A 13,723-nucleotide genomic window follows, 5' to 3' on the forward strand; every position below is an offset into this window, starting at 1 on the left:
TTTCCATAAAGTTTAAAAATAAAACTAATCTGTAGTTTTAATATATTCACAAAAAAACTTGTACACAAATATTGATAGCAAAAACTAATAATACCTAAAGGTGGAAACAACTCAAATGTCCATTAATTAATTAACAAATAAAATGCAATATAGCTATACAATGTGATACATTTCAGCCATGAAAAGAGTGAAGTACTGATATGTGCTAAAACATGGATGAACTTTAATAACATCATACTAAGAAAAGCCAGACACAAAAGCATATATTGTACAATTCCATTCATATGAAATATGCATAATAGACAAATCCATAGAGACAGAAAGTAAATTAGTGGTTTCCTGGAGATGAGGGAATGGAGAATGATTATGGGATTTCTTTTCAGAGTGGCAGAGGTGTTCTGGAATTACCCAGTTGTGATGACTCAGCAACATTATGAATGTTTTAAAAATGACTGAATTGTATATTTTAAAATGGTGAATTTTACATTATGTGAATTTTATCTCAATAATAATAATAAACGAAGAGAAACAAGCAAATAAAAAACATCTAACTTTTGGTTTTGAAAATCAAGTTATTTATTTTGGTACAGGATGGTAGTGACTAGCAGAGAATATGAGGGAGCTTTGAGGTTCTGGTAATCCTTTCATCTGAGTAGTGGTTTTATAGGTGTATTCATTTTTTGAAAATTAATAAAGCAATTTTGTAATGTATGTTATATTTTTAAAGTATATTTCAATAAAAGTTATAAAAATAAAATTTACAAATTAAAAAATGTTTTAGGGCCAGTTATAATTCAATACATGGTAACTTAAAATTATATCAAGAAATAATTAAAATACACAATATAGCCTCACAACTAACAATCTATAGGTTGGTATCTGGAAGCTTATTGAATTGAATAATCCAACAATCTTGAAAATAAAAATAAAATAAAAATCAATTAGCAATTTTAAAGGCATGAATCAAAGATTCACATTTAGTTTAAAAATACTCTTAAAAATACTTGGAGTGGAAATACTTAAAAACACCAACTACTAAAATTATCATGTAAAATAATCAATAGCCTCCAATTTCATAACATTTTGGCATTTCATAGTCAGGGCCCAAATCTGTAACTTTTCTCTTTACTTATTACTGTCTTCAAGAAACTTTCAAAAGATAGATTGTATTAGACAGACAGATTACCAATGTTGCAATAATGGCTCTTTGATTTTTTTTATGTCTAACTGTAACTGGAAAATTCTGGACATGCTTCAAAATTGTCACTATGCTTTTATCCAGATGCTTTCAACCAAAGACACTTAGACCAAAACACTTGGCTATAGAGCAAACTTAATCATTTGATTGTTTAAATTCTATTTTCTCATTTCTATTTTTGGGAAGAATCCTCAATGATTTTTATAAATACAGGCAACATTTTATCTTTAAGAATTTTTTTGTCCCAAAAGAATCTATGGTGAATGACAACAAGAATCACTTTGCAAATAATATTCTATCCAGTGTGTTTTTGCAATACTCAGTAGATTTGGTACATAGATTTAGCAGTGAAAATGACTATCCACTGCCTACTGTAAAAATGAAATATAATAAAAGTTAGTCAAATTTTTAGATTTCACATAGACTTACTGCTGTAGATAAACTATTCTAAAAATGAACTGAATAGAAATATGCTGAATAATATACAAGAGTGGATTTATCAGCAAAATTTATAAATACAGAGAATTTGATTTAATAAGAAATTAATCTCTTTTTTCCAATTGAATTTGCCTTTCATTCATTTCCATAAGTCTTCCCTGTTATCTAAAAAAAGTAGTAAGGCTAGTCTAGGTTTTTCCATTTTCAAAGTAACCACATTTCTAAAGTTATAAAGACTTATTTTAACAATGTTCTTAAATCCTAATGCTTCCTAAGTACATAAATGAAAGTGACATACCCAAATGGCAAAATGAGCTCTCACATAAAAAATAGAAAAGCAAGTTTTACTTAATCAACGCTATTTTAGAAAGTGAGGCAAAAATAATATTGGCTTATTCCCTCTTCTACTAGCATGTCATAACATTTGATGCAATTCCTATTATTATTAATAATTTAAAATAAAACAAGTTCCAGAAAGCACAAGAACATAAAATGACTTTAAAGGGAAAGCTGTTGCATCTCTTTGGAAATATCAAGGGTCAAGTTTAGCATTAACGAACTAATGCCAACACAAATCGGGAGGAAAAATAGTTCTCACTCTGCCTAGCAGCACATTCTAAAATTGGACCTCGCCTGGAATGAACTTCTATTCACTGAGTCATTGCCTGTGGAATTTCCATTTTAGCTCTCTAATTTGGCTAATTTCCCCACAAATAGACATGAGAGAAGCTTCCTTCTTCCACATGCAGTATTATGTTATTTCACACTGCAGTTATATCCCTCTACTGTGTACACAGGAAAGGGAAATAAGTCTTGACAAAGACGAATCATTTCTTGACTTTATTCCAAGGAAAGACTGGCTTAGAATTGAAATGTTTTCATTTTGGCTACCATTTGCAATTTTTATTGTTAAATGTATTTATTTTTTAAACTGACAAAAATTGTGTATATTTATCATATACAATATGTTTGAAAATATATATAACACTGTGGAATGACTAGATAGAGCTAATTAACACATGCATTACCTCATATACCTACTTTTTGTGGTGAGAACATAAAATATTATGTATCACTATAGTGAGCTTTATTTTTTTTATAATGGGCTTTGTTTCCTTTCCAAATGTATTCAGTTAGTTATACTTTATTCAGAATGTGAGAGACCTGCTTGATGATTAACACTATCCCTCATCACATGATTGGTGAAGTTTCAGGATTCTCCATGTTAAACTCCAGTAGTTGTCATTCCCAAGTATCAAACGAAGTCTTTATAGCCTTATTTTCAGCTAGCATACCTATATAAAATAACTACTTTCTAATTAAAGTCTTGTTTTTTTGTTTCAGAAAATTAAAATTTGCTTGTGTGTCCAATATAAGGAAAGTAAAAATTATTTCAAAAATTACAGGTGTAAAATCATTTATTTATATGCTATGGTTTTCTCATTTGGAAACAAAATGTTTGTTTTATATAATTTCCAAAAGATCACTCTCAGGTTTTATACTTAATATATCCGGGATTCCAATCTAGAGCAAATCAAAATATAGCATAATTTACAAGTTATTTCCCATAGTATTTTGCTATAATTAAAGCTACCAGTCACAATTCTGTTTAAATTTTAATTTAGGACAGTTTATCCTAATTGCTGTATTGCAGCTTACATTTTAGATTCTTAGAACTTTTTGAAAAAACTTCTGATAATCTGCACATTGAAATATTCCTCATAATTTTCTGTCCATACCGTGAAAATAACAACTGCCATTCTATCTGAATCTGTATAATTCTAATACATAACCATCTAGAAATTGATTATATATTATTTGTCATTGCTTGCTGAATTTTTGTTTCTATCTAGCTTGTAATATGTGTGGGTAAAGGGCAGAATTTGTCAAATATGTGCTAAAAATGTTTGTTTGAATAAAGTAATGCAACATACTTTTGTGTTATACTTCATAGTGCCTCACACAGAGTAGGCACTCAATAACCACCAGCTGCTTAATAAGCTGGTAATGATAAGAGGTAGTCTAAGGATTCACAGTTAGTGCTCATAAGAATAATTATCTCCTTTGTTTAAAATACTGAGTTAAGGTATTTTCCATAGGCAGAATGATGGTTAATGTGTTTTGCATGTGCATAAATGTCAGCAGAAAACTAGAATGAAATGTATTGTTCTGTTGACAATGCAGGACAGCAAAGTCACCACCGAACAAAATGTAATTGCTAGGTAATTATACTATTTATTTACTCTCTCTTTTTTTGCACTCCATGCTCACTGAGTTATCACCATTAGTAGTCAGGGTAACTATAAAATGTGTTACATTAGGGTGTAAAGAGAAAAGAGGATGTGACTTCTGTAATTGAGTTTCCATACATCATCACTTGCCATGTTAGCTAATGAAAGAGAGGATTATGAGTAAGAAGCCCAAGTATCACATCGAAGTTGGTTTTTGGGCAATCCTAGTCCTATCTCTTCCAATTTAAGAGAAATGCAGTTAAAACTCAATCTAACACAGTTTAGCATGAGAAACTATTGAAATTAATGACTAAGCAGTATCTTCCAAATTATGGAGATCTGATTTGTTATATTAATAAGCACCAAATAAAAAATACCTGTTGAATATCTGTAGTAGCAGAAGGCAGTAGTAAGAAAGAAATGGAAGCCAGCGACGACATAGCTCATTTTGATACAGAGTAGTCTGGGCTTATATTGTACAAGGTTGAAGAGTCCTGCAGATTCTCAAAGGGAAATAACATTATAAACATCAAATGTGAATCTAAGAACACATGAGGGAGCCAAACAAGATAAAGTCGTCTAACAGTGTGGATAATCTAGACTATGCATGATTTATTCAGAGATAGCCATAGTTTATCACTTCCTGATAAATTAAGCATGTCCTAATCGTCTTTGCATAAATATTCCTGAAAATATTTTATTACACAACTTTGTTCATATTAATCAAGTGTAATTTTTATAGTATCCAAGAAATCCTTAGGGACATTTTTAATCTTCCTTTCTCTTTCTGATGGTTGTCCTATACATTCAATAAGTCACCAAATTATATTCATTTCCTCAATTAGGACACATCACCTATATCTCTGTCTCTTCTCGTCACCACTTCAGTCCAAGCCTTCATCACAACACTCCGGAATTACTACAACAGACTCCTATGTGACGGCACTATTTCCCCCATCGTATCCACATTATACATGTCCACTATATTAATATTTTTATATAATCATATTTGACTTCCCTTCTCAAATATCTTCACTGGCTTTCAATCATATCCAGAATAAAGTCCTATCTACTCTGACTGGTTTGTATTGCCTTCCGGAATTTGGCTCCATACTGGCAGTCTAACCCTAACACCCAGCACTTACCAAATATGAGCCCTGAATTTGAGTTAGGCTGTTTTTCACAGTGTTGTGTGGCTAATTCCATTTTGAGTTCTTTGTGCTTTTCTCCCAGGCTGGAATTCACCAACACTCTTCTTTATATAACTAAATGTAACCACCCATTAAACTCTAGCTCCTGCCCCTCCTTTCACTCCAAGCCACTCATTTGGTGCCTGAAAACATGTTTGTTGATTTTGTTTAGTTGTAAAATGGCTAATAGGTGAATTTCTATGTCCTCTCCAAAATTAAGATATGGCTCATATTTTACTCTTCTTATCTATATCCCTAGTATTCTACCTTGCATTCTGTAAGGAGTCAGTAAATTAACTTGAAATATGCAGAGGGGACCATAGCTTAAAAATTGTTACCAGAGGCCCCATCTATTTAGATTTTGTAAACATATAAAATTCATTTTTAATGATTGCTTTGCTTTTTATAGTTTTTTTTGTGCTTAAACAATCTGTTATCTAAACCCTTGGTCCCTAGCCATTTTGGCACCAGAGACCAGTTTAGTGGAAGACAATTTTTCCACGGATGGGGGGATAGTTCTGGAATGATTCAAGCACATGACATTTATTGTGCACTTTATATTATTATTACATATTCACCATAATGTAGAATCAGTGGGAGCCCTGAGCTTGTTTTCCTGCAACTAGATGGTCCCATTTTGGGGCAATGGGATACAGCGACATATCATTACGCATTAGATTCTCATAAGCAGTGTGCAATCTAGCTCCCTCCCATGCGCAGTTCACAACAGTTTGTGCTCCTATATGAGAATCTAATGCCACTGCTGATCTGACGAGAGGTGGAGCTCAGTTTTGCTCCCTGGCGGCCACTCACCTCCTGCTATGCAGAACAATTTCTAATACGCCATGGACTAGTACCTGTCCATGGCCTGGGGGCTGGGGACTCCTGCTTTAAACCCTAGCATACAACTTGCTTTTTAAAAAATTGTTAAGCAAATCTATTTTTCAAAAAAGCTATATATATATATATATATATATATATATATATAAATTTATATATATTATTATATAGATAATATATAAATATAAAAATATATATTATATATAAATTTATATATAATATATACATATAAATTTCAATTACATATATAATATATACAAATTTCAGTTTTTTATATATATACATAAATTTCAGTTCGGCCTTACATTTCAATTGTCACATATTTTGAGTGAGTTGCATTTAGTTTAGTTTATATCATCATGAAGTTATCAAGTGGATCTGTTTGATACCAATAATTACCAAGGGATTATGAATATTCCCATCAGGGAGTTAATCATTGCTTTATGTGGAATCAAGGAACAGTCAAAAATACCCTGTTATACTAATGCCTTATCTTATTTTTCTTGGATGAGAATATGAAGCATTTAATCCACAGAGAAAGATGATCCTCGTATTTCAACAAGTTTCACTTTTACTATTCAAGGCTTTCAATTACGTAACACTATAATGAGATAACTGGTAAAAATGTCAAGATTAACATATTTAAACTCATGATAAATATGCTCATCAGGATCCCCCAGAATCAAACCTTCCTGCAAGGCATTTTTTATTGTGTTTTCAATTGGCAAAATGTTAATAAATCAAGGACTGAAGATAAACAAAAGGCAAATGAGATAAAATTAAATCATGTTCCATTGTTTAAACAAAAAGGCAAGCTTATGCCAACACTAACAGAAACACTAATATGTTTACAGTCACACTTCTGTCTGTAATTACATGCCATGTCAACTATCATGGTGGGACAACAGTATTGAAAAAGAAATCTTTTGAAAAAATTGAACAAAAGAAACCATGTGAGCCCACGGACAATCACAAGATCTTTATCCTAAAAAAAAAAAATTTGTCCTTTGAAAATTCTATAGACCATAACAAAAGCATAGCTTATGATAGTTTTCATGGGAGGAAATAGGTCTAAGGGATTAAGGAAACAATGTGACAGAGTTTTAAGATATCTATATAGTTATGTATCTTAATGGATGCCTATGACCCTTGCGTTCACCTCAGGCCTCTGCATTTTCTATAGGAAAATAATAATAATCTATTTAAGAGGACTTAACTAATGACAACACATTTCTAAAATGGCTTAAAATCTTTCTAAAATACTAAGGGAGAACTGTTAAATGGTTAGACACAAAATTCTATTTCTTTGAATTACAAATTTATGTGTATTTTTTGCTTTTTCATTGAATAAGTACAACCAACTTAAAAATTATAAAGACAGTAAAGATGTATATCAAGGTGGTATATATTAAAGTGCACTGTTAAAGTGCCATAATAATTGTTATCCCCAAGTATCCACATGTAAACAATACTGGGTTACAATAGTTGAAAGCAACTAATAGTGTTTGCTACCAGGACCACACTGTAAAAAAGGAAAAGTAGAACTACTTCTCACTAACACCTTATATAAAATGTCTCCATTATTATCTGATTCATGTATAAACACATTGCCATCTAAATCCAGAAAATTACTTCTCAATGTACACACATACTTGCAGTAATACTGTGACTGAAAAATGGGCCATAAGAAGAATGGCTGAGAGATGGTGACCATGAAAGAGACGTGTCTAATTTAAATGTAAGTAAAAGAGATTCATGGCAAGGACTGGTGTACACCTACAAGGAAATAGCATGGAGTACAAAGAATGTAAGAGAAATCAATTAAGGTGGGAGGCAGCAAACAGTTATAAACAAAATAGTCATGAAACTCAAGAGTCGAATGGGAGAGTGGGAAATATTTCCTCTTTGTTTTGAGCTACACACACACACACACACACACACACACACACATTACTAAGTGAAATACATTTGTAATCTGAGCTAGGTAAATTTTAATATGAATTGTAGATCTGACTTTGCCATAATTACCTCACAGGATTGTGAGGATCAAATATAATAGTTGTGAAAGTGCTAAATTGTAAAATGCTATACTCACATAAGATAGATGGTATCTACTCAAAATGCAGACAAAACCCTCTCATTTCAACTCTAAGAGTAAGCCAGCAATGAGCTCTCTAGGGCACAGAGGGGAGAAAAATCTCCCTCTGGTCTATGTCCAGATTGTCTTGGAAGAATAGGCTGAATACTCATTGCATGAGCTGGCTTTGAATGCAGACCGAAGATACTATCAAATTGGTCTAATGGACATGTGGCCAATGCCACAAAAGAACTGTGTGTAGAAAAATCCTTAATCTGTTGAAGAAATAACTTCCTTTTCCTCTTTCTTAACCTTCACAAATGTTTATTTCCTGCACAATCCTGATACTAATTTGTGCTAATTTCTCCCCTTTGAGGAGGGAAAACAAGGGGCAGGAAAGGGAATGAAGATTCACCAAAACATGCTGAAACACATATAACATTTTCCTTTCAATACAACCTACTGGGGTAGAAAAATAAGTCTAGGATGTAACACATATGTTCACATTGCTATGACCATTTTACAGATAGAAAACTGAGGCTAAGAGAGACTAAATAACTTATTAAAGGCCAACTTATTCAAAACCACAAAGCAAACATTTCACTCTGGGTCTGAGTGATAACAAAAGCCCTTGTATTTTCCACAACAAAAACATACCTTCATCATTTAAAAAAAAGGTTAGAAGGATAAACAGCTAAGAAGAACCAACTCCTATTTTTAGCTCTTTTTTTTTGAGCTCTATCATTAGATTTTCGTACTGTGTAAAATTTCCATTAAATTTTTAATGTAAAACACCAGTTCCTCAATCTTTCATTATTTAGTGCTACAGGGCTCAAACCGCTTCTGATTACAAGTACAAACAATAATAATTGCAAAATGCCCGAAAATTTTCAAGAAAAAGCACAAAATCACAAAACAAAACAAAACAAAACTGAAAAGACCTTATGAGCAATGTGTTCAAACCACCACAATTTATAAATAAGGAAATTAAGGCTCAGATAGGTTAAGTGACTTGCTGAGGGTCACACAACTTGTCAGTTCCAGACTCAAGATCAGAATTTAGATCTCCAAACTCATAGTCCAGGGCTGTGCTCTTTTTGCAAACCAAAAAGAAATGACTGCACTTAAATATTTAGTCCAGAATATCCTCAAAATTGACTGTAATAAAAGTTAGCCACATGGCAAGGAATGAATAGAGTTGCTTCATACCAAAAATGAGCTGCCAGTCACAGTGATAAGATTTCTTTCTTTCTGAGAACCATGGTTTCCTGCTGCATTGGGGAATCCAAACTGGGTTTCTCCCTCCTGTCCAAAGAAGTCAGAGTTAGGATGTACGCTCCACTCCGCTTTGGCTGGTGTCAGTAGTTCTGAGACACTGTTTTCACAAAGGGTGCTCGAAGGAGTCAGAGTATCTGTGTCCACTGTTAGCTTACTGCTGGGTGTCAAAGCCTGAGGCTCTGGACTGGAGTTTTTCATGGCCAAAGAGTCCAGAGATCCCAATGGCCCCACACTTACACTTGAGACCTCATCCATATTTAAGGAGCTCTGCTGAAAACCAGTGGCCGCCGTTCCAAAAAAGAGAGAGGTATCCAGACTTTGAGGAGGGTCGCTGGTGGCCATCAAGGACGGAGGGTCCACAGCCTGCCCTACGGAATTATTATTATTAGCAGGGAGGTGCCCTGCCAGAGTCGAGCTCACAGAAGCCACATCAATAGTCAAGATTCCAGAGTTCACCAATGCTGTGTCCAGCAATGCAGCAGAAGTACTGTCAGGTACATCAGAGAAGAGAGACACTATCTCTGCATCACTGAGATCATTCTGTCTCTGGCTGGTAAGTTCACTGCTGGGTGTAAGAGAATTTGCTGCTTCTAGCTGAGCTAAGAGATCCTGGCCCACCTTATGCCTTTTAACCATGTGCGTCTTCATGCTGTGCTTGGATGTGAAGAGTTTATTACAAGAGGAGATCGGGCAACGGCTTTTCCAAGTGTCCACATCCTGCAGGTGTTTCTTGGAGTGAATGTAGAGGCTACTGCGAGCAGAGAACCTGGCACAGCAGCCTGCCACAGGACACACGAAAGGCTTTGTGCCCAGGTGGGTAATGCTGTGGCCTTTCAGATGTTCGGCCCTCGTGAAAGATTTCCCACAGCCTTCCACAGGGCACATGAACCTCCGGTCATCGTCGTGCTTCCTTTTGTGCCTTAAGAGTTTGGACATGCTGGTGAAGTTCCAGCCACAGCCATCAAAGTCACAAAGGAAAGGTCTCTCGCCGGTGTGACTCCGCAGGTGAATTTTCAGCCTACAAGCCTTGTCATATTGCTTGCTGCAGCCAGGGAAAGAGCAGGAAAACAGTTCCTGTTCCCTGAAATGGGCGCGGTTATGGGAAAACAGAGCACTCACTGTGATAAATGTCTTCTTGCAGCCAGAAAACGCGCACTGGTAAGGCCTCTCGGGTTCGAAGTGGCTGCGCTGGTGGGCGCCGAGTTTGGCCTGCGTGGGGAAGCTCTCCTCGCACACCTCACATTTGAACGAGTTCTCCTGCTCATGGCCCTTCATGTGCGCCTTGAGGTTGTACACGGTGGTGAAGCTCTTGCCACAGCCCTCCGCAGGGCAGCCGAAGGGCCGCAGTTTATCGTGCGACTGCAGGTGCCTCTTGAGCTTGTAAGAGGTGGTGAAGGTCCAGCCGCAGCCACCCAGGGGGCATTTGAAGGGCCTCTGGCCCTGGCTGCTGCTGTGCGTCAGCAGGTGCATCTTCAGCTGGTGCTTCTTGGCGAAGGTTTGCCCGCACAGCGCCTCGGGGCACAGGTACAGCACCACGCCTGGACCAGAGCCCAGCAGTCCGCGGGGGCCCAGGGCGGCGGCCAGGCCCTCCGCCTCCTCCTGGGGCGCCGGAGCAGGCGCGGGTTCTGCGGGCTCGGCTAGCAGGAGGTCGGACCGCAGCTCTGGGCAGTCACCCGGGTGCGCGGCTTGCGGGAACCCAGCTTGGGGGGCGATCAGACACCTGGGCTGCTGGGCAGGAGCGGCCCCTGGCTCCCAGGCGTGTGGTGGGGGCGTGGCCAGGGTGAGGACGCCGTTCTCAAAGCGCAACAGCAGGTCCTGGTTGTGGATAGTGACTGTGCCCGCGAAGGCCGCGGCGGGGCCGGGGGCGGAGATCGGGGCCGGAGTGGGAACCGCGGACAGGCAGTGGGGGCCCTGCGCAGAGCAGCCCGCGGGGTTCGCGCCGCTCTCGTCCCCCTGGAGCCCCGGGCCCGCCTTGGCCTCCTCCCTCAACACAGGCCCTGCGGCCTGACCGGAGCCCGCGGTCTCCACGTCGCCACCCACCGGGTCAAGCAGCACCAGGAAGAAGTCGTCGCCGCCGCCGCTAGGTTGATGGGGCCTCGGCGCGAACAGGCTTGGGCCAGGGCCCCGTGATGCCGTGCTGGCCTCCTCGCGCCGCCGCCCGGGCCCGCCATCTTGGGGGCCCCGGGGCAGCAGGAGGCGGCGCGTGGGGACCTGGCCAGCCGGCGAGTCAGGGCCTCGGTGGACTCGGCCGCCACCCGCGGGGATACCGCCGCCGCCGCCGCCCTGTAGTGTCCCGCGAGCCGGGAGCAGCTTCGGGATTTCCATCTCTGCGTCCGAGAGGCTCGGCTGGAACCAGAGCCGAGGAGGAGGCGCGATCCCGCCCCCTGCCGCGGGCCTGAACACGTTCCTGAAAGGGGAAAAAAAAATGTGCAATGCGCAGAAACTGGCCCTATCAGATATTAAAATGTATTCAACGCCACAGTGATTTAAATATTCTGGTACTGGGTCTCTGGAACGGAATAGAAAGCCCAGAGGTAGAGCCTGGTATGCATAAATATATTCTACAATTAATATAAGTAATTAAGGAGGTCTTCTGAAGTAATGGGGAAATGACGACATCTTGTTCAATAATGCTGTGGAACACCTAGGTATCTATCTGGTAAAAGCAATTTTAATCCGTGACTCATTGTATATACCCAAATAAACACACGCCAGCCCCTCCCAGTGTTAGACATGTTGCTTCATACTTTTTGTGTGTTAAAATTTGTTTATTGGCTGGCTACCTGGCTGGATTGATGGATGAAAGACAATTCCTGAGAGAAAAAACTGTCTCTGTGTCAGCATTAAACCACCATAGTGCTGGCATTTCTGCGGAAATTGCCCTTCCCCTTCCCACCTCTGCGCGGGACAACTTCCATACTCACAATTGTCTTGAGCAAAGTGCTCGGTACAATTTGCCACATAGTTCAATTTTTGTCTGCTGATAACAGAGATTAGAATGAGTGAGAGATGCGGCCAAAACAGATTAGCACTCTTCAGCCTACAAATGCAAAGTCTGGAGGATGAAACAATTTATACTGAAATCTGGAAAAAAACCCAACCCGCCCCTGGCTTCTCCCTATACAGTGCACAACCTAAACCAACTCTTTGCCCTTCGACGATCGGTTGTACCATGATAAACTTCATGTCCACTCTCATAGCACAATGAGGGCATTGCTCAGTTTATTCTGCATTCTCCAGCACATTCTCTGGGCAGGAGTTCCAGTTAAATGTGTTAAGGTTAAACCCTCAGTCACTCAATGGACTCTGCCAAGTAATGTGCACAGACGATCTTGTCCACTCGCCCCGGTGTACCTGCTCACATTTAAGTGTGGTGGCCCAGTCTTGCTGGGCCTTTGGTGCCTAATGTCCTTATTAATGATGACGACAATCCTCCAATTTGTCTGTCACGAATGAGTTTGGAATTGACACAAATATAGGGTGAAATATCTGAGATGAGAAGGCTTAGAGTGATGAACAGATTGGTGGTGGTGGGGGTGGGGGGGTGTAACCTGTTGTTTAAATACTCCCAGCTCTCTCGCCCTCTTTTAATAACAGTGGACACTTGGTCTCTTGAAAATCAAGTTTTTCAACCATAACTATTCGAACCTCATCAAAATTTCTACTCCACATACTTTTCTTTCTATTACTTTTTCTGGAGGAAGCACTTTTCAAATCTGAAATTAGAAGAGTGCATATAACGTATCTGTATAGTTTAGATTATTTTACAAAAGCAGACACCTACTTAACCAGGACCAAGGTCAAGCAATAGACCACTGCCAACCTCCCAGAATACAGCTGCTGTACTCCTTCCAGTCACAAACCACACTCTCCTATATAGATATAGTAATTGCTCCGACTTTGTAATAATCATTTCACTGCTTTCCTTTATAGCTTTATCACTTTTGTACGCATCCCTAAACAATAGAGTTGATATGAAGTTGTATAAGTGGAATCATACGGCATGCTTCCTTTTATAGCTTGCTTTTTTCACTCTGTATTATACTTGAGAGACTCGTCCATGTTGTTCATAATAGCTATAAGTAAGTAGATCCTTTGTCTCCATCGACTGTCTTTCCAGCATATGCTTATAGCAAAGTGATTATTGTATGATTATTCCACTCCATTCTACAGCAGATGGAGATTAGGATTGCTTCTACTTTTCAATGATTATTGTGAACATTCTTGCACATTTCTAATGGGACACGTGTAAAAATCTCTCTAGGGTATATATCCAAGAATAGAATCACAGGGCCATAGGGAATGGATATCCTCAGCTTTACTAGATGATGCCAAATTGTTCTCTGTAGTGATTGGGAGAGTTGTCAATCCCACCAGCAGCATAGAGAGTCCTTACTGATCCACATGTTCACCTACACCAAGTATTGCCCGAATTTAAATTTTGCCGGTCTACTGGTGGGCAATATCCAAA

General features: G+C 38.6%; 1 protein-coding gene across 1 annotated transcript, besides 1 other annotated feature; it reads right to left on the reverse strand.

Moving 5' to 3' along the window:
• Window positions 6,587-11,615, reverse strand: ZXDA (zinc finger X-linked duplicated A). The gene has a single exon (NM_007156.5). The coding sequence runs from the start codon at window positions 11,575-11,577 to the stop codon at window positions 9,178-9,180; it is 2,400 nt and encodes a 799-aa protein (NP_009087.1). The 5' UTR covers window positions 11,578-11,615; the 3' UTR covers window positions 6,587-9,177.
• Window positions 10,783-11,042: a silencer, noted in NCBI's record as "silent region_20873". NCBI's record gives its function as "represses an Ori minimal core promoter by ATAC-STARR-seq in GM12878 lymphoblastoid cells {active_cell/tissue: GM12878}" and the evidence as "EXISTENCE:reporter gene assay evidence [ECO:0000049][PMID:35858748]".

This window comes from Homo sapiens, chromosome X (genome assembly GCF_000001405.40).
Source record: "Homo sapiens chromosome X, GRCh38.p14 Primary Assembly".
NCBI lineage: Eukaryota > Metazoa > Chordata > Mammalia > Primates > Hominidae > Homo > Homo sapiens.